At 39.1% G+C, this 27854-nt stretch overlaps 1 protein-coding gene, 1 long non-coding RNA gene and 1 other non-coding gene across 3 annotated transcripts, besides 1 other annotated feature; 2 read left to right on the forward strand and 1 right to left on the reverse strand.

The window, feature by feature from the left end:
• Positions 1 to 1971: 1971 nt before the first annotated feature.
• Positions 1972 to 5825, reverse strand: LOC124901060 (uncharacterized). Its single transcript, XR_007058926.1, has 2 exons — positions 5595 to 5825; positions 1972 to 4445 (listed from the first exon to the last, which is right to left on the reverse strand). It is a non-coding gene; the product is annotated as an uncharacterized LOC124901060 (long non-coding RNA).
• Positions 3413 to 4192: a silencer, noted in NCBI's record as "silent region_16298". NCBI's record gives its function as "represses an Ori minimal core promoter by ATAC-STARR-seq in GM12878 lymphoblastoid cells {active_cell/tissue: GM12878}" and the evidence as "EXISTENCE:reporter gene assay evidence [ECO:0000049][PMID:35858748]".
• Positions 3795 to 23074, forward strand: ISOC1 (isochorismatase domain containing 1). Its single transcript, NM_016048.2, has 5 exons — positions 3795 to 4121; positions 14002 to 14121; positions 14231 to 14434; positions 15992 to 16108; positions 21901 to 23074. The coding sequence occupies exons 1-5, from the start codon at positions 3813 to 3815 to the stop codon at positions 22045 to 22047; spliced, it is 897 nt and encodes a 298-aa protein (NP_057132.2). The 5' UTR covers positions 3795 to 3812; the 3' UTR covers positions 22048 to 23074.
• Positions 6734 to 6812, forward strand: MIR4633 (microRNA 4633). The gene has a single exon (NR_039776.1). It is a non-coding gene; the product is annotated as a microRNA 4633 (primary transcript).
• Positions 23075 to 27854: the final 4780 nt, after the last annotated feature.

Consider the following 27854-nt stretch of genomic DNA (forward strand, 5'->3'; position numbering starts at 1 on the left):
CTTTTTCTAGAGCATCAATCAAACTTTGAAACTGTCATTCAATTCCTTTATTCTTATAATTAGTATTTCCTCCATATTTTTCAAATTCTTAATTACAGTGAAGGCATTCCTTTCCAGTAGTATATGATTCTAGTTCATCTTGCTGGAAGTTTAAAAAAACTGCCAGGGGCTATCTGTGCTCCACAGATATTAGTGGTTAGGTATTCATTATCTGCCCAACAGTGGGTGACCCAGCTCCAAAATCCATCCACATTGGCCTCCTTTCATCTTTCCTAGCAACAAATGTCACAGGTTGATTTCCCTGGAAAGCAGACTCTGAGATAAAAATCAGCACACTGAAGACTTAATAGACAGTGCTATTTTGGCTATTATTTCTTCCAATATTCTTTCTGTTCCATTCTTGTCTCATCTCTCCCTCTTGGACTCCAACTACATATTAGATCATTTGATATTGCCCTCCAGGTTACTAAAACTGTCATCATACTTTTTTCAATCTCTTCCTGTTCTTCACATTGGATAATTTCTAGTACTCTGCATGCAATTTCACTAATCATTTCTTCTGGAACCTATAATCTGAAGTTTAGATTACCCAGTGAGCATTTCACTCCAGACATTGCACTTTTAGCTTGAAAAGTGACATTTGGCTATGTTTTCAGTCATCTCCATCTCCCTGCTGGTATTCCCTATCTGCTCAGTCTTATGGCTACCCTTTCTTTTAAGACCTTGAATATACTTGTAACAACTTCTTTAAAGTTCTTTTTCTCTTAATCCTAACATCTAGATTGTCTTGAGGTCTATTTTTATATACTGGAGGATTCTGAACACAGCAGTGACACGCTCTAAATTTATGTTTTTGAAAAAGTGCCACTCTAATAGCCGTGTGGTAAATGGAGTATAAAAGTCTATGTAAATGAGGTAAATGGATAAATAGGGATACAAAAGTCAAATATTGGGCACAACTTATGATGAGTTACAGTTAGATGGAAGACGACAGTGGTTTTGTCTTAGGTGGTGGCACTGGTGTGAATGAGAGGAATTTGGTTCTGACCACCAGGTCTTGCTGATAGACTGGACAAGGACAGAAAGAGGAGTAAATTAAAGGATAAACCCCTGGTTATTGTACTCAGTTACTAAAACGGGGTTGCCATTTGCCTAGATATCAACAGGGGAGAGAAAATATTCGAGGACAGAAGAAAACTAAGAGTTCTGTTAGTACATTTAAATGTGAGGTATCTATTGAATATCCAAGTGGAGATGTCGAATAGGCACTTGTGTATGAGTATGGAGTGCAGAGTGAGGGCCTGGATGTTAAAAATTTGGAAGTCAAAGGTATATGGGTGATATTTAAAGCCACAGTCTTAGGATAATAGATGTGAGGACTGAGCTCTGGTATACTTGTATTTATAGAGGTTTGGGGAATGAGAGGAACATAGGAAACGAGCTTGAAGTGAGGTGGAAGGAGAAATAAGAGAGAGTGGTATCCCAAAGACAAAGTGAATATGGTTCAAAATAAAGGGAGTAATTGGTTTGTCAAATGTTGCTGTTAACTGGGAAAGGTGAGAAATAAGCCTTTGTTTTATCAGTCTATTGAGATTTTGGGGTTTGTTTCTGTAGCATATTAATGTATTAATCAATACTGTGTAATATACCTTCTTGATTTTCTTGGAATTTAGATTCTAAAAGTAAGCATTTAACATTAACTAATAAAGCTACTGAGAGTCCTATATGAGAAAATTTTGGGCATTTGGTCCATAATATGATCTTGTCAATTAGAACAGTTATTTTCTACTTGTCATTTGAATATTCATTTATGGGGTCTTACTCACTTTTTCTGGTAACATTTATAAAAATTATCTTAATAATTGTATTTCTGAGGATAATAATTTATCACTGAAATGTGCATTCACCTCCCTTTTGCAGCCCAGTGATGCAGAGGTTGATACACAGTTGATATTCAATAAATGGTAAATGTGCCCATCAAATATCTATTTTATTAATGTTATTTAACATGCTATTACCACAATGATTGCACCATTAAACTAGGTTGTCAAGGACCAATCTCAGACAGCACAATATATATGGAAGTTGATTTCCTTACTGAAGGGTCAGAAACCTAATTTAAAAACATGAAAGGGAAATGAAGTATGTTGACTCACGGCCATGAGGGCCACGGCAGAAGACTGTGTAGATGCCAAGGTCCTCGCTGAGGATGTCTGAAGTCTAGGCCAATCTCTAATCTCCAACCTACTCTGTGTTAGGAGGCTTTACAGGGTGGAAGGAACACTTTTATTAGTCCACCCAAAATAGGTAGGTACCTTTTGGTAATCAGGTCTTGAGGGGGTACACTTATTAGCACAAATCAGCATATCTGCATATAGAAGACCTTGCAATGGAGTGGTATCCGGAAAAAAATATCATTTTGGGTCTGACGGGTTCAGACAACACTTTTAAATGGGATCTCTCAAAGTGTGATGAGAACCAGAAAAAAATGGCTATTTCTAGTAGCTTCGGTACAATTGAGCAAGAAACACCAAAGGATGGTCTTTTCATAACTTTAAAGCAGTGTGGTTCTCAAGTAGGGGGTATATTTGCCCTCTGGGGAATATTTGGCAATGTCTGGAAACATTTTTGATTGCCATAACTAGAGGGAGGAGCGGTCACTAGGCATCTAGCGGGAGTAGAAGCCGGTGATGCTGCTAAATATCCTGCAAATGCACAAGATGCCCCATCCCCAAGAAAGAGAAATGTCCATTCCAGAAGTCAACAGTGTCAGTTGGGAAACCCTGCTTTAAAGGTTATTTTCTTAGAAGAGGACAGCTTTAATACCTAAAATCTAATTTTATGTTTAGGCCCATGCCTATCTTCGCAGGACTCAATTCCAAGGAAATTCTGTTCATAATGCATGCTTTCTAATTCCAGTTAATTATAGCGCCTTACAGTGTGCAGAAGGCAGAGGATTGTTTTATTTGAAAGTGATCCCTTTTACTTACTTAAAAACAGATATCCTTAGTTTCAATATAAAGTTCAGATTTTTGCTTTTAATAGTATTTATATTCCCAAATCCAAGTCCTCCCAGAAATAGGTTGAGATGAAGGGAGGCCAGATATCAAATCCATTCCTAGAGATATTGTGTTCTGTGGGACCGAAAAAAGACAAAACTTGAACCTTGACTGGCCCTCTAAGGATTAAATTCTGCTGCTCTTCTTAGGGTATCTATCGGACTGTCCCTTTGGTTGTAAGATACCACTGCCATCTCGAGGAGGACTGCATGCTTCTGCACAGAGCCAACAGGTAACTCGTCCTGGCGGCTCTGTGTACCCAACCACAACCCTAGACTGCCAAGAACACTGCTCATTCGAAGGCGAGCGAAGCCGCGAAGAGGGCCAGCGTTAGGGGAAGGGTGGTACAAACCCTTGTGTGAGCTGCAGCACCGGGGCAAGAACAACGGGCAGCCCAGGCGGGTCTTGGGTCTGCGAGACCACTAGGCGTTCTGCCGGCAGTCAGAACCGCGGCAGAAAGGGCGCGAGCGGGGAACTGCGGGAACGCAGCGGCCCGGGAAGCTGGAGGGGGCGGACCCGGCCGGCGAGCGCAGGCGCTCCCTGGCTCACGCGCGCACCCCGGCCCCACCACCCACCCTTACGCCGCGGCCCGCCCTCCGGGGCGGGTAAGAGAGCGCGCGAGCAGCGGTCGTCAGGACACGCCCCTTCGCCTCCGCGAGCTGGCGGGCGGGCTGGCATCGCCGGGAGGCGGGGCCGCGGCAGCCGGCTGGGTGCGACTGGGCGGCCTCGGAGCTCGCAGACGCTCGGGGGAACATGGCGGCTGCGGAGCCGGCGGTCCTTGCGCTCCCCAACAGCGGCGCCGGGGGCGCGGGGGCGCCGTCGGGCACAGTCCCGGTGCTCTTCTGTTTCTCAGTCTTCGCGCGACCCTCGTCGGTGCCACACGGGGCGGGCTACGAGCTGCTCATCCAGAAGTTCCTCAGCCTGTACGGCGACCAGATCGACATGCACCGCAAATTCGTGGTGCAGCTGTTCGCCGAGGAGTGGGGCCAGTACGTGGACTTGCCCAAGGGCTTCGCGGTGAGCGAGCGCTGCAAGGTGCGCCTCGTGCCGTTGCAGATCCAGGTGGGTCCTGCGGGAGGCCGCGCGCTTCCCTGTTCCCGAGTCGTCCCCGTCCCCGTCCCTGTCCCCGCCTTCGCCGCGCTCCTCAGGTGCCCCGAGCCGCCCGGGACCCGGGCCCTGCGCGAGTGGCTGAGTCCGAAGGGCTGCGCGTCTTTCGCAAGTTCCGGGGCCGGCTGGGGAATGCCCCTGTCCAAAGGTGATGGTCACCAGCTGTCCCCGGCGGGGGCGTGGGCCTCGTAGCTGGTTTCAGCGCCCGCGAACGCCCCCACGTGTGTGGTCCTCGGTCGCCCGCATCCGCTTTTTATGCCAGGATCAGGTCCCAGCCTCCTGCGTAACCAAAGGGCTGTGCTGTAGTAGCTGTTTTTATTTTGGGGTGATGGGTGATGCAGAATGGGGGGAAATGAGATTGTGGGGAGTATTGGTCTTAGGGTTTGTTCCTAGAGTTGTGTTAACCACTTGCGGAAACGCAAACTTTGGGAGTCAAACCCATTCCCCCCCGCCTTCCCAGGCTCTCAGGTCCTTGGGCTTAAGAGTTCCCTAACCTTAAGCAAATAACCATTTGCTTAGCCTCCTCTTAGTAAAGTGTCTACTGACTTGATTACGTTTTGTCGTCTGCATTGAAAAAGTCATTTGACTCCATGATTGTAATTCCTTCTTGAATACAAATACCCAACTTAAGCTAGACCTTGAGTTCCTGGGCCTGCTGGCTGGGAAAGTTGTTCTACCTGAGGACTACTTAACAGCATTTATTTTAAGCTGTGCTCTCATGCTAGGCGGGTTAATCTTCCGCCCTCTTTAGGATCAGATTGTTCACTGGCGAATTTATATTTTGGAAAGGAAAGAATATAAGGTATAATTTAGGTAGTACACTGTCGATATCATTTCTTTAGCTGAGAAACTGATAAGTCATTTTTTCAGAAGACCAAACTGAAATGTGGGATTCGGGGATAAAAGGTATTTTAATATTTAAGTGTCATTTTCTTTCTTTTTTGTTTTTAGTTTTTATGGGCACATAATAGTTGTACATATTTATAGGAGACGTGATATTTTGATTCAAGCATACAGTGTAGTGATCAAATCAGGGTAATTGGAATATCCATTACCTGAAACATTTATCATTTATTTCTTTGTTCCAAATTCATTTTTGTAGTTATTTTGAAATATACAATAAATTATTGTTAACTATAGTCACGCTATTGTGCTACTGAACACTAGAGCTTATTCCTATTATCTGTGTTTTTTGTACCCATTAACAGTGCCATTTTCTGAGGATTATTCCCTAGTTTTTTTCCGCTGTAGTTGGCAGCTGAATTGATGATGTTTCCTGTCACCCCAACACCTGTGCCAGAAGTGTCCAAAGCAGGTACTTTAGCTTCGATAAAGTTCCTGCATTCAGAGGACAAAGTCAGAGACTGCACTCTCTGCCAGTGGAGAACCTGGAACTGGATACAGTGATCTGATACCCCAGAATCTTACCTGCTGCTCAGATAGGGAATTGCAGTTCTTAGGTGCTTAAGACTCCTCATTTTTATGTCTTCAAGCGTTTTCGTGTCTGACACCTCTCTGCAGCCTTCCTTGTCAGTCCTTTTACGTTACTGCTGCCAGAATACTCAGATGTTGGATGCACCTTTGAGAAGTCCATTTATAAAGGCTAGAATCCAAATACTAACTGCGGAGGTCTGGGACTAAGGATGCAGACTTCTTTATGAAGCATTTCCTGTTACGGCTTGGAGGGAGGCTGGGCTCTTATCTAAGATAATGCTATTCTAAACTAGGCCCCAGCTCTGTAAGAGTCCCCGCCTTCCAAGATAGGATTTTTATATTTGAAAATTTCAGGGCCTTGGTCTGGCAACTCTTAAAAACATTCTAGAAATTAATGAAATGTATGTACCTGAAAACGCTTGTACATTCTCAAAAGGCGTTATATAATTCTGGTCACCTGTAGCTTTTGCAGTGTTTTGCTTGGTATAGGAGATTATGTATAGTTCACTTTTTTTTGGTGAGGTTTAAAATAACAATAGCATTACTCTACTCCCTCTTCAGAAGAAATTTTTCCGCCAACTAGTCTAATAATTCTTAAGCATTAGTTATATTTTTGCATTTATATAGCTTTATATTTTTAATTCTTTAAAAATATTTTCTCTTCTATATTATCTCATTTTAGTAGTTATACTTTGACTTCTTCAGCCTGATGCCTCTCCTAGCTTAGAGGTAGATAAAGGAAGGGGATAGATACATAAATATGCACACACTGTGTATCGTATATACCTTCTGATACCGATTTATGTCTATATGAGAAGAGAGAGATATATATACACACATACATATATATGCATATGTGTGTATAATCTCAGAAAGTCATGATATTTCTCATGACTACTGTACACTATATTCTTTGGAACCTAACAGCATAATCCTAGAGACTTGGATGTTTTATGGCTGTAAGAGACCATACAGTTCATTCCACAACATGTGAGTGGCAGCTTTAAATGCCTGGCACAGTGAATGCAAACTTGGATTCAATTCTTGTTCCTTACCTAATAAATGAACTTTCACTTTGAGGAAGTGCAGAAGAACATAGGGAGGTGGAGGTGAGTAACTTGCTGCAGGTTACATGGCAAGTCTCCGCATATGCCTGGCTAGCTCCTCCACAAATGCGTGTGGAGGAGCTAGCCAGGCATATGCAGAGCGTCACTTACAGCCGAACACAGCACTACTGCTTGCATGTTTAATGAGAATTGAGCAGTCTGGAAAACAAGTCACAAACTTGAGCTCTTGTTTGTTCATTTGTCTTGGTGCTGCTCCTTGTTCTTTGGAATAAATGCTTGTCACTTAGGAAGACTCAAGGTGGCCTATCGGTGAGTCCATGTTACTGGGGATGGTTGGCCCCTTCTTGAAGGCAGGGACAAAGAGCACAAGTTTGGCCACATGTAGTTCATTGCGTAAATAGTGATTTATTATTTCTCCACACTTGGGCCCTGGAGCCTCTGTGGCCCTGGCTCACGTACTGTTAGTCTAGAATGTATTCTTCATTTGCGCCGTGGTATGAGTTGCCTTCGTGCTTATTCTGACAGCTGTGGCTGATGACCTTGTGAAACACAGTGGCTGCCTTTGCCACACTGCACCCGTGCTTGTTAGTGGTTCTATGAGAACTGATCTTTAAGACCCCCCATTGCCAGTATTAGGCTGTGGTAAGTTTTTGGTGACTTCTTTTCTTAAATATTCTGTCAAAGTAACAATGTCTGCCGACAGCTCAGGTAGATGAAGGCATAGCTCATGTTTCATGCTTGGTTTGTATGTCTGCAGCTTTGCCAAATGCTTGAGATCTGATGAATTTTGAGACACGGGAAAGAATATAAATGAGAGGATTATGTAGTGGGGATTTACGTCATTTTTATGACTTAAAAGTTTTAATTTTTCAAAAGGTATTTTGTAAGTTTTAGGTAAAGGAAACATTTAACTATGGAAATTTACATAAATGTTGTATCATGCTACCACCAGTGCATTTTCCAGCCTGTGGCCAGGAAAGACAGAGCCTGCAGAGAAGAGAGGAGGAAATGGACAGTGTAAGAAGGATGCCAGTGAGGGGATTTTACTTCTGTACATAGCAGGGAAGGCTTTGGCAGCTTTCTGTGGCCAGAAGATAAGGGCGTTCCAGGGAAGGTTATTTTGACCTTTTCCCAAGATGGTTAACTGGCAGGGCATTTTGCTCCAGCTTTCATTTTCTTGGAAGTTTATTACTATTATTATTATTTTAAACAGGGGCATGAACATTTTATAGCTAGAAGAGACTGACAGGTTCATGGTGGGAAGGGAGGGAAGGCAGGAGGAAAGGAACCTTGTTCGCCTTTGGCTTGATAGTTTGAAGGTAGTGGTTTTTGATTACAAAACCTTTGCCTCAGGAGCGTGGCAGGAAGAGGGGGTAGATGAGCTAATGCTCAGAGAGGAGACAGCTGGATCCTGAGGTGGTTGTATTGTCTCTACCCCATTGGTTTGATGTGTGTCACTTAAAAAAAAATTAACATTCCAGAATAATACCTAAAGCATTGTATCCTTTTTTGCTCCTTCTGAATACATTAGAGCTACCTATAAATAAACTGTGTTTGAGAGTAGGAGCTATGATCTGAATTTTGAATTTTTTTTCTTGCATTTAGCTAACCAAGGGAATCCCAATGTAGATTCAAATGTCATTGTGGTCCTGGGCTTGTCTAGCTTCACCTTCACCCCAGTCTGAGGCACAGTCTTAAGAAATCCTTCAGTCCTCACCCCTGGGGTGGGTGGAGACAGCTGGCGTCCCTTGGGGATTTAGAAAACTCATACCTTAACTGATAAGCTAGGGTTGTAACCTTATGCCAGTGACATCAATGTTCACAATAGGTGAATATGTTGTAAAAATAAGAGCCAATAAGTATTATTTCACAGCCTAAATTAAAAAGTCCCTGATCTGTTTTTCCAGGAACAATCTTGTCTTAGTGATTTGGTAAGGTCTTGGTAACATCTGGAAATCTACTTTATAAATCACTTTATGATTCACTTTCCTTATTCTGCATATTATGTTAACATAACAAGTTATGCAATGTTAGCATTCCTATAAATATATTTATAGGTTTCTAAAGGGATCTTAATTGTAAATATTTATCCTCATTAGAGGGTAAGTTTTTTAACATATGCTAAGTTTTAGAGTGTAGTGTTTAATATATGAGGGACATCAGAATAGCCTAATACATTTATTGATTGATTATATGAAGCCCATTTAATCCTTGAAATACCCCTATGATGTAGATACTATTTTTCTTGCTGTGTTACAGATAAGGAAATTGCATATGGAGATATTTACCTAAGTTCATGTAATCGAAATTAGTGAAATTGAGATTTGCACTCAGATTCTAATGCCTACTGAGGCTTGTGCTATAAAGGGGATCTTTGTAACCTGGGGGAGTCACATCACAGACCTCTGTTGTAAGTGAGTTGACATTGGAGCCAGGCCTTACTATAGCTGTGGTCATCGGATTTCCTCAGAAACACTTGGGAGTGAAATAACGATGCCCCAGGTCCCCTTCCAGACTTTCTCCCAAACAGATCATGCCTATTTTGTGACTCTAATTGACTACCAAATTTTTTAAACATCGCATTTACAGTTTCAAATTTTAATTATTCCAAATCCCTATAGTAATTTGCTATGGGCTGGGTGATGTGAAAAGTCTTTTGAGTATGAAATCTAAGGTCAAATCCCAGCTATGACAATTCTTAAGAAAGTAGACAAAATATTTATACTTGAATCTGATCTCTTAAACTCTTGCTTGAGGAAGCCATTGGCTATGATCAACTTTTTATATTTAAATATATATATATTTGTATATGTATCATGTGCAAATGTGTGTGTAGGACTATGTGTAGGCATATAGATATACGAAGGTGTGTGGATACATATATTTATATGTGATTTGTTTATATTCCTTAAATATGCATAGATCTGTAATTGCTATGCTTTTACTCCTGGTGACATTTGGTCCAGTCCACTTTTAATTTGCTGAGGCAGGACTGGCTGTCTTACAGTTGCAACATGTAAATGTTTGGCTACTGGCGATATTTTTTAATTACCTTAAAGATTTTGGTTTAAGAGAACTTCATGAGTCAAAGTAAGAAATTTCCGAAATTTAGAGAGTTGTATGATTTTAACAGCCTGTTGGAATTCATGTGGATTTGGGGTGAGGATTTGGGAGGATTGGTTGGACATGATTAAAGTTTTTCAGTATGTTTTTGGTAGCCACAAAAGTTCCTTTCTGTTTGTAAGGTATAGACGTTATTCCCCCAAATATCATAGCATAGGGAGGCCATTAAAAAAAAAAAACTAACTTTTTATTTTAGAATAGCTTTAGATTTACAATAAAGTTGTAAAGATAGTACAGAGAGTTCCTATATTCCTGTACCCAGATTCCCTATTGTTTTTGTTTGTTTGTTTGTTTGTTTGTTTGTGAGACAGGGTCTTGCTCTGTTGCCCAGGCTGGACTGTAGCCTCGACCTCCCGTTCTCAGAGGATCTTCCCACCTCAGCCTCCTGAGGAGCTGGGCCACCAAGCTCAGCTAATCAAAAAAAAAAAAAAAAAAAAAAAAAAAAAAAATATATATATATATATGGTTGGGTTGGGTGTAGTGGTTCACACCTGTAATCCCAGCACTTTGGGAGGCCAAGGCAGGCAGATCCCTTGAGCCCAGGAATTCAAGACCAGCCTGGGCAACATGGTGAAACCCCATCTCTATTAGCAGTACCAAAATTAGCCGGGTGCAGTGGTGCACGCCTGTAATCCCGGCTACTTGGGAGGCTGAGGCACAAGAATCGCTTGAACCAGAAGGTGGAGGTTGCAATGAGTCGAGATCACGCCACTGCACTCCAGCCTGGGCGACAGAGTGAGACTCTGTCTCAAAAAAATATGTTTTGTAGAGACAAGGTCTCACTGTGTTGCCTAGGCTGCTCTTGCAATCCTGGGCTTAAGTGATCCTCCCACCTTGGCCTCCGAAGTGCTGGGATTACCAGCATGAGCCACCATGCCCAGCTGGATTCCCTAACATTAACATTTGATATTCCTGCAGTACATTTGTCACAACCAAAGAACCAACATTGGTACGTTACTATTAACTAAACCACACTTTATTCATATTTCACTAGCTTTTCCCTAATGTCCTTTTTCTGTTCCAAAATCCAAACTAGGATACCAATTACATTTTGTTGTCTTGTCTCCTTTGGCTCCTCTAGTCTATAGCAGTTTCTCAACTTTGTTTTTAATGACCTTGACAGTTTTGAGGAGCACTGGTCAGATATTTTGGTAGAATGTCCCTCAATTTTGATTCATTTGATGTTTTTCTCATTGTTGGATCGGGGTTGTGAAATTTCAAGAGGAAGGTCACAAGGGTCATTCTCATTACATCATATCAAAGGTACATGTTATTAACATGATGTCATTAATGACATTAATCTTGATCACCTGGCTGAGACACAGTCGTCAGGTCTCTCCATTGTAAAGTTACTCTTCCCCCTCTATACTCTCCTCATAAGAAGCAGAGTACTAAGTGCAGCCACATTCAAGAGGATGTTGGGAGTTAAACACCTTACATAGATACTCTCCACATCATATTCAACAGCATGTGGAGAATGTCTATGAAAGGTAGGGTATTTTTTATTCAGTAAATTGTAACCTGTACTCTGCTTTAAAAACATGCCTTGCCACTGTATTCTCTATGGTTTCTTTGTTTACTGAGTTTGTGGATGGTAAGTTCCTATACTAGAGAGATTTCCCAGGGCAGTGAGGATTTTAGGGCTGTATTTTTGACCTCCTCAATGTGTGTCTAATATGACACATCTGATGCAGTCCCCTGTCCAGAACCCATAGCTAAAATGAAGGGCAGGAAACACCAGCTAGCAAGAACTGGAGACCACAACTCTGGATATTAGGATTCCTGGGTAGGTAAGGATTTATTCTTTTAAACACCTCAACTTAAAAATATCTTGACCATTTTATAATGTAGTCCTTCTGAAATATATAATTTAACAGTTTTCTTAATGAGTGTGCTGGAATGATGTTTTCCTAATTTATAAGTTAGAACAGCTTTTTACTCTTCCACTGGAGGTCTAGACTGTAGCATTATTTGAGTTTTGATCTGTTTTTATTGTATTTTGAATCTTTTCTCTGTCAGCCATCATTTCTTGCTGCTATCAGTTTGCCTGCCTCCAGCAGTTTCCTTTCTGATTTGCTGTTTATAGCCTTCTGTTAATTTAGAATCCAGACAATGAAACTTGTTAGGAATGTATACAGAGGTAGTCAATACAGTATAAAATAGGATCTGAGAGCTGGAATTCTAAGCAAGTGTAAGCTCTAAGCATGTTAGTGAATGGCCTCCACCACATTTACGCAACTGCCCAGGAATTTTATTTTTCAAATTTTTTTTTGTTTTTGCTGGTTCTCACCTGTTGTGAAACGGTGAGACTGGCTTACTTGCATTATGGTTATTTCAGTAGGCCTGCTGCAGGCAAACTGCTTTATGTAGTGTGCCCTAAACACATTGTGGATGCCTACGAGTCCATGATTCAAATTTATAAAAATGTAGATATTGAGCCTTTTGAGTCAATATTTGATGTTTACAGAGAATTTAGTGATTGGTTTTTAAAATAGTATCCTAAATGCACAAAAATTAGCCTTCCCAGCAATGCATTTATATTTGTATATAAGATCCTAGTCACTGCTTTTGAAAATGACCAAAGCAGAGGCATAATACTTGCATTTAAAATTAAGCAAAGAAACAGCCAAAGCTAGAACATATAATATGCTTGAGAATTTATTTTAATCATGCTTTATTGGAAAAGTAGGAAAACCCTATACATAGAGTAAGAATTACAGATGGCTCTCACATTCTAACATGAATTTGGTATTGGATTGTGCATAGCTAGTTAATACACATCTATAGAGTCAGTACCAGAGGGAGATTAAAGTGCCAGGGTACTTCAGACCAGGACATAGATAAAACAAAGTGCAAACCAATTAGAACAGTTATATCATTAAGGATTAAAGATTTCTTAATGGTTAATTTAATTCATGTAGTAATTGTTTCCAGAGAGTCAACCCCTGCAGAGATACTAAGGAGAGTCTAAGGCTGTGTTGGTGGTGAAGCCACACCATGTAATCCAGACACAGACTCCTTTAGAATATTATTAATAATAGTTATCTGTAGGTGGTTTTAGGGGAAACAAAGTAGGATAATTAGAGGGATGATTTAAGGGAGCGGCTAGTAAGGGTATTGATAATGGTTCATTCAGGACCAGAACACATCCTTTACAGTACTTCCTGCAATTTGCAAAAGAAAGAAAAGCACCTCAGACTTTTAAGAATCCAGTGAGAGTAAATTCTCATATTTAATGGTGATTTTTGCTTTTTGGTGGATCCATATTGGGCCCAAATTGTTATAGACCAACTACAGCAGCTAATATGAGGTTTGGTAATCTAATATCCACTTTTCATCTTAATTCATTGACTTTCCTTATCGTGATAACTATAGTTTAAGAATGGAGATGTCAAATATAGGTCTCTTCCTTGTGAAGTAAACGACAGTTCATTTAACAGCAGTGGTGTGCTTGGTATCATTTCGTTGCATTTTGTTTGAACTCTAAAAATTATTCTTGAGAATAGCATTTTCATATTTCTGTCTTGATGATAGCAGTAATTCTGGATTTGCTTCTGTCTGTTTTTTGTTTTTAGTTTTTATGTTCCTGCTACAGATATTTTAAGTTTTACTTTTTATACTTACAAGCAGCAACATCAGATTTTTTTTCTATTGTAACACTTTTTCTGATTATAAAGAAATTTCTTTAAATAACATTCAGGAAATGTGTTTAAATAACACTTGGAAAATATAGGAATGGTATAAAAAAAGAAATTACCAACACCCCAATTATATAACCACTTGTTAATATTGTAATGTACTACTACTTTTATTCATATTTTTACATTATTGAAATACTATTGAACTGCACTTTTTAAAAATTAACATTATGAGTATTTTTCCATGGATGGTATGAATTCTTTGAAGACATATACATATGTTTTTTAATTGGCTAAAAAATGTTTTGTCATGTGAATGTGTTAAAATGTGTTATATCATATCTGTATTGTTGGCTGGTTCATTTCTAATTTCCGCTATTAAAAGCAATTCAGAGAACATCTTTTTGAGTTTTTTTTTTTCCTGTAATTCAGATACTTTTTTTGGATAATAGCGGTAGAAATTGACTTACTGGCTCAAACAATAGGACCATTTTTCTTCCTTTATTGACCTCCACTGAAAATAAATGTCATTGTACAACAAGTGCTAAATCATTCTTTTTCTTTTTTCCTCAGCTCACTACCCTGGGAAATCTTACACCTTCAAGCACTGTGTTTTTCTGCTGTGATATGCAGGAAAGGTTCAGACCAGCCATCAAGTATTTTGGGGATATTATTAGCGTGGGACAGAGATTGGTATGCTTGTTTACTTATTTGGTCATATTTGCTGAATCATCATATACACTCATATATACACATATATGTATATAGCTAATTGTTTTTGTGTTTGGTTATTTTTTTTCAGTTGCAAGGGGCCCGGATTTTAGGAATTCCTGTTATTGTAACAGAACAATACCCTAAAGGTCTTGGGAGCACGGTTCAAGAAATTGATTTAACAGGTGTAAAACTGGTACTTCCAAAGACCAAGTTTTCAATGGTATTACCAGAAGTAGAAGCGGCATTAGCAGAGATTCCCGGAGTCAGGAGTGTTGTATTATTTGGAGTAGAAGTAAGTACCTGTTACTATCATTTAGGCACAATATTATTTATAGAAAACTCAATATTTGTGGAATGTAATTTCATATATGGTATGCCAGGTAGGCAGTAATAATGAGGAAAGGTAGCCACCATGTATTATGTTCACTATTTGCATGGCACTGATCTGAACATTTTATAGCTGTTTATTTATTAAGTCCCTTAAGCCAAGTAAGAGCTAAATACTCAGTAGTCTCCCCATATTAAAGAGGATACTAAAATACCGAGATGTTGTGTAACTGACTTGAATGTATGTAAGCTGATTGATTCTTGGTCCTGTATTTTTAACTACTACTTTTGGAATACATTTTCACCAAAGGCATTATTTTAATGTATGTGTTGTAGGATTTCAGTTAGGTCATATTTTTGTGCTAGAAGAACCTTGGAGGTCATGTAGTTCATTGTCCTTCAAATCATGTATGTATCTTTTTACAGGGGAAAAATACTAATGGATTCCTATTGCTGATTTCAATTGATTTATTCCTAGCTTTTAAACAACTATTAAACTAAAATTTTAAAAATTAAGAAAAAACCACTAAAACAATGAAATCAAAATATTAATTTAATGTGATTATGACAATTTGAAGGTAACTTTTATAGTAGTAGGTTTTAACAGTAGAAAGATATTTCCTCAGGCTTAGATGTATATTCAATATTTCTGTATTTTGGCACAGTAAAGAAGAAGCCTGTTTTGTATAAATATGTCGTACCAAGTGCTGTTGCTGGCTTTGCACCTTTTTTGCTTGTTCATCATCATTAGACCTTATGCTCAATCACAATTATCTTTGAGTGGTCCTTCAATGCTAATTTTAATGAGGTGTCATTTGATAATTCTCCAAAACGCTCTTGTCATGTGAAGATAAAGTTGACGTGGCATCATTGAAATGTACTTTCATTGGTTGTAATACATGATTCAGTCATTGTTGCAGCCTGTTTTCACTCTATAGTATCTGTTAATGAATTGACACAAGTTAGTACTTACAAAGATGGAATCTGTATAATACATTTGCGGATGATATGAACTGGGTATTTTTTTCCCGTGTCATAAGTTATTTTTCACTTGGCCTACCTTTACTACAGAGTGCCTCATAATGACTCAGTTTTCCCACTAAGTTCTCAGTCTGCAAGACTGAAGACTCATTCTTCATGTTGGACACTTAGGGTGAATGAAGAAAAAAACTCAAAGTCGCACCAAAACTGAGTGCTAGTAAATCAGCTATGTGAAGGTCATCCAGATCACATGGAGCAAAATCTTTAACAAATTCTTGTAAAACTCTAAGAATATGTTTAAGGTTCTTAGTATCAGAAACATTGGCCTAATTCAGTTCCTGATTTTACAAATGAATAAACCAAAGCCAGAGATACTGTTTTATGCTCCAGATTATCTAGCTAATTAGAAGCAAAACTAGATGTAGAACAAGGTCCTTAGATGATCTGTAGTGCTCTGTCTGCTTTATCATGTTGTTGTACATTTGTAAACTACTTTTAGTTTATTATGTTATTACATATGATTCTTGTACTTTCCTACTAGACTCATGTGTGCATCCAACAAACTGCCCTGGAGCTAGTTGGCCGAGGAGTCGAGGTTCACATTGTTGCTGATGCCACCTCATCAAGAAGCATGATGGACAGGATGTTTGCCCTCGAGGTAATTGTCCTGCTTGGGAATAGATCATTTGTCAAGTTTTCCAAATAAATGAGAAGAATACTGGATATTTAACAGTAATGAAAGGTTTACCTCCTAAATTTGAGTTGGTCTGGCAATATCAGACTAATTGATTTCAACTGTGCACTGACTGACCCTTAAGGCTTCACCACCATATCCTATTTTATGTCTCGTTTCCTCCTTAGATCAAGGTTTCTAGCGTTGCCACAAACTCCTTTACATCTTTCGTCATACGTTTGCCCTAGTTTTATACGTGAACTAGGAGATATTCCAAGAAGCCTAACCTAAACTGTTTAGAGGTTTGCAAATTAAAAATAGCTCAGTTGGGTTTAACTCATTTAGCCAAAAGCTAGAGCAGAGCAGGCCTAACCCAGTTTAATATATAGTGGACCTTCTGTATCCACAGATAGAAAATATCAGAAATAAAAAGCAATAAAAAATAACATCACAACAATAAAAATAAAAATAGAATGATAGGGCAGAATAACATCTATTTACATAGCATTTACATTGTATTGGGTATTATAAGTAATATAGAGATGATTTAATGTATATAGGATATGCATAGATTATATACAAATACTATGCTGTTTTATATCAGGGACTTGAGCATCCATGGATTTTGGTATGGGGTGGGGTGGCATCCAGGAACCAGAGATGACTATTAGATTTCCTCAGACTTGAATTTCTGGGACTAAGTGGTGTGTCATTGACTGTGGACACCACTCACATCCAGTGTTTCATGGTAGTCTTGGCATTAGAATGTCACCATGTCCCATGGAATCAGGGAGTCTGTAATTCTCTGTCAACATTGCCCAACAGTAGGATGTCAAGCATTTTCTTTTTCAAGACTGTTAAAAAGCAAACTACCACATAATCTTGGGAAATATTCACTCCATATTGTCGTTTGATCTCTCTCTCTCTCATATTTAGTTCTAATTTTGTAATAATTTTAGAGCAATGTGCATGTGAATTTAATTGCTGAGTTCTTTAACTGTTTATTGAGAATGGGAAATACATGGGTTTGTTTTGTTGAGACCCTCCAGTGTTCTATGCACAGTCTGGCCTGTGAACTGCCTTGTCTGTAGTAGGAATGCTAACTCATCCCTTTAGCCTACTGTGTTCCCCAGGGTGGTAAGGTAGAGCAAATGAGAAAGGGGAGGGCCTTATCAGAGGAAAGAAGGGATGAGTACAGGGCCACAGGGTGGTGGGAAGCAGGCAGGTAGCTGGCCACAGCAGGTGTTTTAGGGTCCTTATTGGCTCTCCCTTCTCTGTTATTGCTGAAGCAGAATCCTATACTGAGATTACAAATAGAAATTATTTATTTTGTTTAGCTATTTTCAAGTCCATTAGGCTATTAGATTATCTGGTAGTTAGGTACTAAGTATTGCTGCTTCTTCCAATCTCAACAAAGACCTTTAATCCATTTCTTTTTTTTTTTTTTGAGAGATGGAGTCTTGCTTTGTCGCCCAGGCTGGAAGTGCAGTGGCACAATCTTGGCTCATCTGCAACCTCCACTTCCTGGGTTCAAGCAGTTCTCCCTGTCTCAGCCTCCCGAGTAGCTGGGATTGTAGGTGCCTGCCACTGCACCCGGCTAATTTTTGTATTTTTAGTAGAGATGGGGTTTTGCCATGTTGGCCAGGCTGGTCTCGAACTCCTGACCTCAGGTGATTTACTTGCCTCGGCCTCCCAAGGTGCTGGGATTACAGGTGTGAACCACTGTGCCCGGTCAGACCTTTAATCTATTCTTATAGTCATGAGTTAATCAATTCCTACTTTTCAGGTTTTCCTGGTAACCTGAGTTTAAATACTTCATTGTCAGGTCCTCACCACCTCAGCCAGCAGCTCTTTCAGCCACTGTGGATAAACCTTTATTGTAATGCTGAGGTCCAGAACTTTGGAAATAAAAAATGAAAAACACAAAACAAACTTCCTTGCTTGTAAAAAAGGACTTTTTTCAAGGACTTTTCTCCTACATTCATATTTTCTTAGATATGTCTTTGTTATGGCAACTTAATGACAAAATTTTGATTGGCAATTCTGTCTTTGCACAAGACTCAAGATTAAAAACAATTCCCATCTGAACCATTCTTTTTAGAGGCAATCTGTAATCTCTCGGATTAGGAATCCACACAATGTGGGGATAATGTGGGTTTGAAGGCAGGTTCTGGTGTTTTGTAAATTTGTGACTTTGAGCAAGTTGTGTAATCTCTATGCCTCAGATTTCTCATTGGTGAAATGGAAATGATAATAGCAACAAGATCATAGGATTTTTGTGAGAATGGAATGAGATAATATATTGATAGCAGTTAGGACAGTGCATGACATAGTAAATACTCAGATGTTAGCTGCTGCTTTTTTTGTTGTTACTGATTGTTGTCTTCACGTGGTTAGTCACCAGAAATGTGTAAGTATATAACCTCTAAGACCCAGAAGGGACTAGTTCTTGGAAGTTCTGAGAAGGGAGGGAAAGAATCTGTTGTCTGGGGTGGATTTGGAAGGGCCTGGAGCACCAACATTGCCTGGGGTTAAAGTGTTGAGGTTGAAAGGGAAAACCGATCATAGATAAGTCAGGTGGTGATTGATAGGGAACACCTGCCATATTGCAGATTTTTTTCCTTTTAGTCTTGATTTGATACGGAGGCGATATACCTTGTTCCTAAATTTGAGGAAGGGGGCAATGTTAAGTGTTCTGGTTTGTTTCCATAAGTGTGAAAGTTAAAATACCATTGTGGTCCTCTCCCCTTCCTCTCTATTCCTGTAGAACATAACTACTGAAGATAATTCCCAAGACTAGCTATATTGCCTGTTAAGATTATTTTAAGATTCATAGTTTGCATTATTGAAACTTCACTGTACCAGGGTCTGTGGCATGTGCTTTATTCAAGAAATGTTTTCTGGGTATTTGTCATCTGAAAGACATTACTCCTTTCAATTAACAATTGTAGAGTGCATGAAGAATAAGAGAATAAAATCCTCTCTTGACCTTGATGTCCTTGTACTTCCGGGGAGTTTTAGTGTTGCTTGGAAATCTAATGGGTTTAGTCTTTTTCCCCCCTCTCTGAGGCTTTCATGACTTAGTGCACATGCATTTTTTAGGTTTGTGGGTCAGAGCAATCCTTCTTTTCCTTTGGCCTAGTTGGATTAGTTTTGCAAGTGTAAGGGGAGAACTTCAGAAGTCTAATGCACATGTACCTGTGTGCATTAAATGGCTGGAGTTTTAACTGCCCCTTTTTAAGCCAGGAGAGAAAGTGGACTTGGGACCAGCATTGTCAGGATGGTGGGCAGGGACTTGCTAGGTATGTCTGGAAAGCTCCTGCTGTTCTTTCTCTGCTCAGGCACGTTCTTTGGTTGGGAAAGGGCAGGCATTGTGGGAATGGCTAAGAGCCAGATTGAAAACCATTGCATTTGCTAAGCTACACCTTTCCCTAACACAGGTTCCTGGCTAGATGATTTTAAAACCCAGTCAGTGTTGGCCACATTTCAATCTTGAAGCAAAGTGATAGTGTATGGGTGTCACTTTCCTAAAATGTATTTCTGTGATGTACACTTCCCACTCTGCCCCTGCTATGGCCACCTGAGTCTCAGCATCACTGAGGCTTGTTAGGCTCAGGTCAGTAGAGCACTAGGGAGTGCTGGGCATTGTAGACAGGCTTCTTGTAGCGTCACCAGATTCCTTCCTTAGACCTGGGAACAGATTTATCTTTCCTGTCTCACTAAGGAACTGGGGAGATTATCGAGAACTAACCTTTATTGGCACATTGGAGTATACAGTGTAAAGCACTCTCACAGACATTGAAAGCCTGTGATTTAGTCCTTGATTCAGACTGAATCATTGCAAGTCCATTGATTCAACAGTGAGCAGTAAGGAAGGCAGGGCTGAGCAGGGCAGGCAGCTGGTGATGGGGAGAGCTGGACATGAATGACTTGACATTCAGTGCTGTTTTCACACAACTGGACTGCAGCTTATCATATTTATTATCTGCCTTTCTGTCTGAAGCAAGCACACGATCTTTTCATATTTTTGAATGGTTTTGATATGATTAATCAGCTGACTATAAAGCAAGGAGGAGGAAATTAGGGCTTCCAGAAGTCTTAAAAAAATACTCAGAGATAACTCACCCCTGGTGTGTGTCTGAGCTTATGGCCTTACTCCAGGCCCCCAACCCCCCCATAAATAGCTGCTGTTTTTGTTTTGTTTTATTTTGTTTTTTTTAAAAAATTGCTGCAAAGTTCTGGTTAGCTGCTCTGCACCCTTTTCTGTACTGGTCATTAAGGTCCAAGCTTGCTTTCTGACAAGTAGGTTATGGCTTATACTCCCTTATACTTCATTACGGATAAAAATAAAGAGTCTGCCAGTGGAAAGGTTCAGTCTGCTGATGTACAGCCATTGAAGGAAGACTGACTTACACTCTGCAAGGATATTTTGGCTATGCAAGGGCTTCCTGGGTTTTTGCCTCTGACTTACCTAGGAATTGTTTCCAACCACTTCCTCTTTCATGCTTTTTACATATATGCTTTTTGTGATAACAGTTTGTGTCTTTTTTTTCCCTGGGATTTCTGATAACACATAAATCCAGAGAATGAATCTGTGCTATAGAATTCTTCTATTTTCCTCCTTTCCTCTCTCTACCCTTTACCCCCGACTTTCTGTTCTTTGCTCTCTTCCTTCCCTTCTTTCCCCTTTGCCTTCTCCTTTCTGTCTCTCTTTTCCTCCTTGAGCTTTCTGTCCTTAGTATTATGATTCCACTGGGGCAGTTTGGCAAGGATATTCTTTGACCTGTCAGTGAAACTTTACACAACCTTGAATTTTACACTCTTGTTTAGTGGTATTAAAATGTTCATGATGGCAGCAGTAGTGGTGGTTCTCTTATCATCCAGGGAGTCTCCTGACACAGAGAGAGCTCTTTTAGCACCAGTCATTTCTAGACAAGGGAACTGTTAATTATAGGAAGGACTCATATGCTATAGGTCAGATGTTTGGGTGCAGTAAAAAGAAATTAAGAACCATCATTTTAATTCTTATAGTAGTTTTAATCCAATTAAACAATTTATATGAAATTTGATAGTAAATTACTAATGTAATGTTCTAGCAGCTACAATTATATCTGTAGTACAGCTAATGGAGCTTTAAAATATTACGCTCCCCTCGATTTTTAAAACATGAAGAGCTACAAAATGCCAGGGGTGCCAGGCATAAGTATTAATATGCATCACGATCTCATGTATTATCAGTTAAACTACAGAGGGGGAAAAGTGGACAGAGGCACCTTTTAAAAAATCTCAGTAGTAGAAATAGAAATAAAAGTTTAATAAATTTAGAAGTCACAAGCAGCCCTCATTTGAGTCAATGAATGAGTAAGACATGAAGCACAAACCTGCCAGGAGTGTTCAGGAAATAGCAGCAACTAAATGTCCAGATGTTCAGTGATGGGCACGTAGTAACAACCATTCCTTTTCTCTCTCTCATCTCATGTTTTACAGTCATTTGCCTTGATGACTTTCCTGTTCTGGGCACATATATGTCATAACTTTGGCTACCTGTTCCCTTTTACTCGTTCTACTCCATTTTACTAATATTAAGAATAATCATATTGACTTTGTGGTATGCCTGGTCTTGAAATCCATCCCCATCACTGAACTTGATGGTATGGCTGGGAACCACGGTTTCAGTAGAGGACACTAATTATTGCATCCCAGCATAGTGTTACTCTTCTGAAATAGTGTTCATTCTCATGCTTATTTCTTGATTTGCCTTTATCTTTTTGTTCAAGCGTCTCGCTCGAACCGGGATCATAGTGACCACGAGTGAGGCTGTTCTGCTTCAGCTGGTAGCTGATAAGGACCATCCAAAATTCAAGGAAATTCAGAATCTAATTAAGGCGAGTGCTCCAGAGTCGGGTCTGCTTTCCAAAGTATAGGACATTTGAAGAACTGGTATGCTACTCACTGGTGAAGGACAGTCAGGTGAAGGACTGTAAGCCCACACAAGCTCTTCTTATCTCTACTAGAATTAAAATGTTAAGTCAAAAACGGCTCCTTTTTTGCGCCTCCTAGTGAAACTTAACCAGCTAGACCATTTGAGTACCAGCATTTAGTTACAAACGTCAAAGGCTTCCGGTGCTGCTTACCTTCCTTTTTTGTTAATGTGCTTTTATTTATTAAAAAAAATTACAATGAAGATGCCTGTTTTGTCTCTACTGTGTACTCTGATCGTATCTTTCCAAAGTGCAGACTCTTGTGAAGTTTTCTTAAATTGTTCACTTTAAAGAAAATGACGTACCAACAATGATTTGGCTTTTATATTACTGTAAGATGTTATAATGTTAATGTGGATGTAGTGCTTTTACTTTACAGATTGATTGGAATAAGATTATTGCATATGAATTTACCCACAGGACTCTGAATCATGTTACCCACTCCCCTCACAATGTTGTCCACTTAGTGAGTTGCATTGATCTATCCGTACCAAATGATGTTGAATAATTACATATCTTTCTTGACTATACTGATTTCTTATTTTGGTCACTATTACTAAATCTCTGTTAATATTCTCTCTTTTAACTGAAAAGGGATGGGATAGAAGGGTTTGCAATGCCATATTATTGGTGGAGGGCTGTTTTAACATCTTTGAAGTATGGCTTGCTGAATATCTTTACCAACATCTTGAATATATATTCTAGTGTCCACAAGATTTAGCAAAAAGATAAAGCTTGGGTGGAATATCATTTTAAAATGTTCATGTTCTGTTCTATATTTTCTTCACCTACTCTCCAAATATTGTAATGCAAAAAGTCTCAGTAATGATTTGGTAGTATTAATTTTGTGGTCATTGTTTCTCTTCGATAAATTTATTTTCATTAAATACTTGTTAGAGGGTTTTGAAATGTTTTTCAAATATGTGAAATGTGAAACTGCTGTCTTTTATATTAAAGTAATTAAAGAAAATGTATTGTGATTGAAATTATTTTGTCCTCCACAAGATGGCTCTATGAGTATTCTTCCAGGGATTCTAATATTTATTTAAGGTAATAAAATCTTGACATTTATAATCTTTCAACTCATGGGAGTTTTCAAAGAAGGAAAATCCTTTGTACGTAGGGGCAGATGGATTTTACTAAAGGGTGAAAGGCCTTCTTCATTAAGAGCAGATTTTTTTTATTTTTCCTATTGGCAGTGGTAACAAATAGCAACCTGGTGTGTTTAAATACTTTTTTCCAACCATTTGTGTGTCAAAAAAGAAGAATCAAAGATTTCTGCACCTTTAAAAAGTTTTTATTAAATTTAACCTAGTGCTTCTCAAACTTTAATATGAATGCAAATTATTTGAGGATCTTGTTAAAATGCTGATGCTGACTCAGTAGGTCTGTTGTGCAGCCTGAGGTGACATTTTGCATTTCCAAGGTGACATTTCGCATTTCCAAAAATTGGGCATTTTCCACCAGTGCTGTTCAGAAAGGACCATATTTGAAATAGCGAGAATTTAACTCCAGACAACTGTTTTCCTCCACTGCACCCAAACCTTTCAGGGCTCAGTGAAATACCAGTACAGTGAAGCCTTTTCACAGGTGAAACTAATTCTGTGACGTCAGCTTCGTTTCCCCTGCCTTCCATAACAAACTATTATACCACAAACAGTGTCGTAAAACAACGGCACAAGTGTATTCTCGCAGTTCTGTAGGTTAGAATTCTGAAATGAGTCTTAGTGGGCTAAGATCAAGGTATCAGCAGGGCCGTGTTCTTTTCCGGAGGCTGTACGGAAGAAACTGTTTCCTTGCTGCTCTGTGCTTCTAGCATTCACCCATGTTTTTTTTTTGTTTTTTTTTTTTTTGGTTTTTTTTTTGGCTTTTTTGACCCCATTTCTACCTCTTCTAAGCCAATGAAGGTGTATCTGTTTTTTCTTATGTCACATCTGTCTGACTCACTCTTCTGTCTTTCTCATTCTGACTTAAGAGCTCATGTGCTTTAAGGTCATCTGATCAGAACCTTATTCCATCTGCAACCTAAGTTTTCTTTTGCTGTGTAACAACATATTCACAGGTTCCAGGGTTTACAACATTAACATCTCTGGTGGCCACTCTGTATAACACAGACACCGCCATGTGATTTAGTATTTTATTTCATTTTGTCATTTGTCATATTTCCATCTTTCCTGCTATATTATAAGCTCTCTGGAAGCAGAGACCGTGAATTATATATAGTCATTCTGGAAACATTTTGAAAACCCACTAAGTTCTAAACATTGTGCTTTGTGCTTAGGATAAAAAGATGCCCCTAGGAAACTTATGCTATGGCACAAAATCAGATACAATTCTCAGTAAATGTGAATTGAATTAAATTATATCAGAGGTCCAGGAATGTCAATATAATACTAAAGTTCAGAATAACTGTGAATTCTGCCTTCTCTCTTTTTTTGTACATCATGCCAAGCAGGTCACTGACAAGGCTTTATTATTACAAGAAAACCAAATTGATTATAATACATTATGCCTTAAAATTGGAAGCATCTGTAACTTTGTAGGATAATGAAATTCTTTCAACTGATGTAAATAGAGAACTTGACTACATAAGCAAAAGAGTAGTCATTGTGTTGAATTGCAAGGGTATGGGAGCAGGAGCAAGAGGATTCACTTATTGAAATGCTAAAACATCTGTAGAAACTTATTCTAAAATTAAAAGTGATAACTTATTCCAATCAGGAAACAAAATATCCTGTTACATCCGTTAAAGTAATACATTTCTCAACGTGGAATATATTCCCTCTCTAAAAGTTGATGTTTGTGTAAATATGACTTTAGAACTGGGTGGAACTATAAAGATCATGATCTCAAAGGTCCATTTCAGCTCCCAAATTCTAAAATGGTTTTATTTTACAGACACAGTTAGTGAGGCCCAGAAATAAATGACTTTTCCAAAGTTGCACAGCAGGATGAGAACTGAGGTTACTTAATTCCCTGTCCTGTTCTTTCTTACATTAAGTGATAATGCTAAGGATTATCAAAGAGAGAGGAACAATAAATATATACAAAAGAGTATGCATTTTATAATTTCTGTAACAATAATTTTGATTGGCAAAGCTAATGGGATATACTCTTGCTACTAATTAATAACTTTCCCTGGCTGTAACCTTAAATCTAGTCTTATTTCTTCCTTGATGATTTTCTCTAAAGCACATTTCCTAACTAATTTGGGGAAATGGCTAAAATATATGAAAATTAGTCATTTTCATTATTAATTTTGAATTAATTTTCCCACATCATTAAATTGATTAGTGCTTCCTTAGTCCTCTATAGAGCATTCTTTCACCATGTAAACTTTGATTTAAAATATTTTAAAAATCATTAAGCTACCATAATGAGATTTATCAATTACCTAGATATGATTGAACTGAGTTTTTTAAATATGTGGAGTTGGCTTTCAGAATTTTTATGTCATATTGCTTTCCTTTAAGTTGTTCCTAAGTTTTACTTACTGTACCTTAACAGTAGACCATCTTATCAAGAAACCTTATTTCTGGAAGACAGGCTCCTTGATATACGGTAAGAGAGTAGTTCTTAAATGTTCATGCACACACACACACACACACACACACACACACACACACCTGTGAGATGATGGATATGTTAATTAGCTTTGCTGTGGCAATTATTTTACAGTATATATCATATATCAAAACAGCACACACCCTAAATATTTGCAGTGTTTGTCAATTATTTCTCAGTAATGCTGGAAAAAAATTCAGCATTGCATTTATATACTTAAAGATTTTTGACCTGCAGTATGTAAACCTATTAATTCCTATTGGAGAGATTATAATCTTGATTTGCTTGCTATAGGAAACAATTCTGAAATGGACCCCAAGAGTCCCACTTCTCTGGTATACACACACCTCCTCCCGATTATGCAATCAAATGCTAATCTAGGTACCTAGGTAACAGGTGTGGAGAGTTTTTGCTGAGGTAATTAAGGTCTCAAAGCAGTTTACCTTAAAATAGGGAGACTAGCTTGGTAGTCCTAAGCTAATCAGCTGAGCCTTTAAAAGGGACTGGGCTCTAGCTGGCGAAAGAGATTCTAAGAGTGAGAGGTCTCCGGCAGGAGAGAGATTCTCCCTTGCTGACTTTGAAGATGTAAGAGACCACATGGTAAAGATGTGAGGATCCTATCATTTGGAAGCAGGCCTTTGCCAGCAAGGAAGCAGGGACCTAAGTCGTACAACCACCATCACTTAATTCAGCAAACAATGTGAAGGAGCTTGAAAAAGAGATTCTTCCCCAGAGCCACCAGATAGAAGTGAGGTCTGGCTGACATCTTGATTTCCGCCTGTAAGACTCTGAGCAGAGAATCGCCATGCTGTGCCTGTACTTCCGACCTACAGAACCATGAGGTAATCAATTTGTGTTTTAAGCTAATAAATTTGTGGTAATTTGCTATGCAGCAATAAAAAATGAATACTTTTGTATTTGGCTTTTTAAAAAAATGGCAATCATTTTTATTTGGAGAGAGCTGTCTTACTAAACACGCAGGACTTCAGGTGGATATTATCAGGCTCACTTAGTGTTTGTAATAAAATGAACTTTTTTCCCCAATTAAATAAAAGCATTGTTTTTGAAATTAGTCCTTGCCAGAATACTGGGTTTACTCATTGATTTTTAAAATTTTAATAGCATAACAGGCAAGGGTGTTTTAAGAAAACAAGAGTGTGGAACTGTATTGTGAAAAGCAAGAGTTTCCTATTCCTTCCCTTTGCTACCCTACCCTTATTCTTATTCCCTGGAAGAAACCACTCTAACAGCCTTTTTGTCTTCCTCTGCCAGCTGCCTTCATAACTGAATAATATGCTTATGAAAGGTGTTATTTAAACTTTTAGGTAATGTCTACTAATTGTTTCCCCTGGAAGATCAGGATTTTGGCTTACTTACATTATCTTATCTCCACATTGCTCCTCCTGCATGTATCATCATTCATGCAGTTTAGTTATATTTTCAGTTGTACTATCTATGTTATTTGGTAGAATCGACCTGTCTTTCTTGTCCTGGACATGGACATCTTTGTGGACTGTCCATCTGCCTACCACAGACAATAACTGAAATCTCCCTGAAGGTTCAGGTCCCAAGTCGGGCTCCTTATCACTGGTTTCCTGGTATGCGCTCCCCTCTCCAGCATTCTTTAAGTCCTGGATTCAGAGAGTGAGAGAAATGTCACAGCACAGGTGATAACTGCAGAACAGGAAAGGGCAGAAACCTCCTCCCCTAAAGAGAAGGATAATTCTTATCTGAGGTGTGTAAAATCAAACGTCTGTATTTACTGAACTGAACTCTCTAGCCCTGTGTTTCTACTGATGTGGAAAACATAGCTAAATATAATCACTCCAAGATCTCATTGAGTTTCTTTTGGGGTAAATAGCTTTGTTCTTCAGAGGCTTATTTGCTGACTGGCCCTTGGTCTTTGGCTTTTCTCCAAATGTCCAGTCTTCACAGGTTTCTGGTTACAGACCCTGTCATACTGCTTGAATTGTGTATTCCCCTTGCCTCCCCAGTTTCATATTTTTACAGCTCACTCTGCCTTTTGTTAACCACAGATTTTCTCTAGGGCCTCTGGCCTTTTCTCAGCCTTATTCAAACTTTGGAGTTTGGGAAGATTTGGGATTATCTCCTGAACCAGCCTGGAGCTGAGAGGGGAGAAGTGTAAGGAAGGATGCTCTGGGCTCTGTGCCAGGTCATCCCTTCCA

The sequence above is a fragment of the Homo sapiens genome, chromosome 5, assembly GCF_000001405.40.
Source record: "Homo sapiens chromosome 5, GRCh38.p14 Primary Assembly".
In the NCBI taxonomy this organism is placed as follows: Eukaryota; Metazoa; Chordata; class Mammalia; order Primates; family Hominidae; genus Homo; species Homo sapiens.

Bases quoted from the DNA above. Each gene is read 5' to 3' on its own strand.
- ISOC1 (NM_016048.2), top strand. From the start codon at position 3,813: ATGGCGGCTGCGGAGCCGGCGGTCCTTGCGCTCCCCAACAGCGGCGCC. The intron at 4,122-14,001 runs GTGGGTCCTGCG...TTTTTTCCTCAG, and splicing joins TCGTGCCGTTGCAGATCCAG to CTCACTACCCTGGGAAATCT. The intron at 14,435-15,991 runs GTAAGTACCTGT...CTTTCCTACTAG, and splicing joins TTGTATTATTTGGAGTAGAA to ACTCATGTGTGCATCCAACA.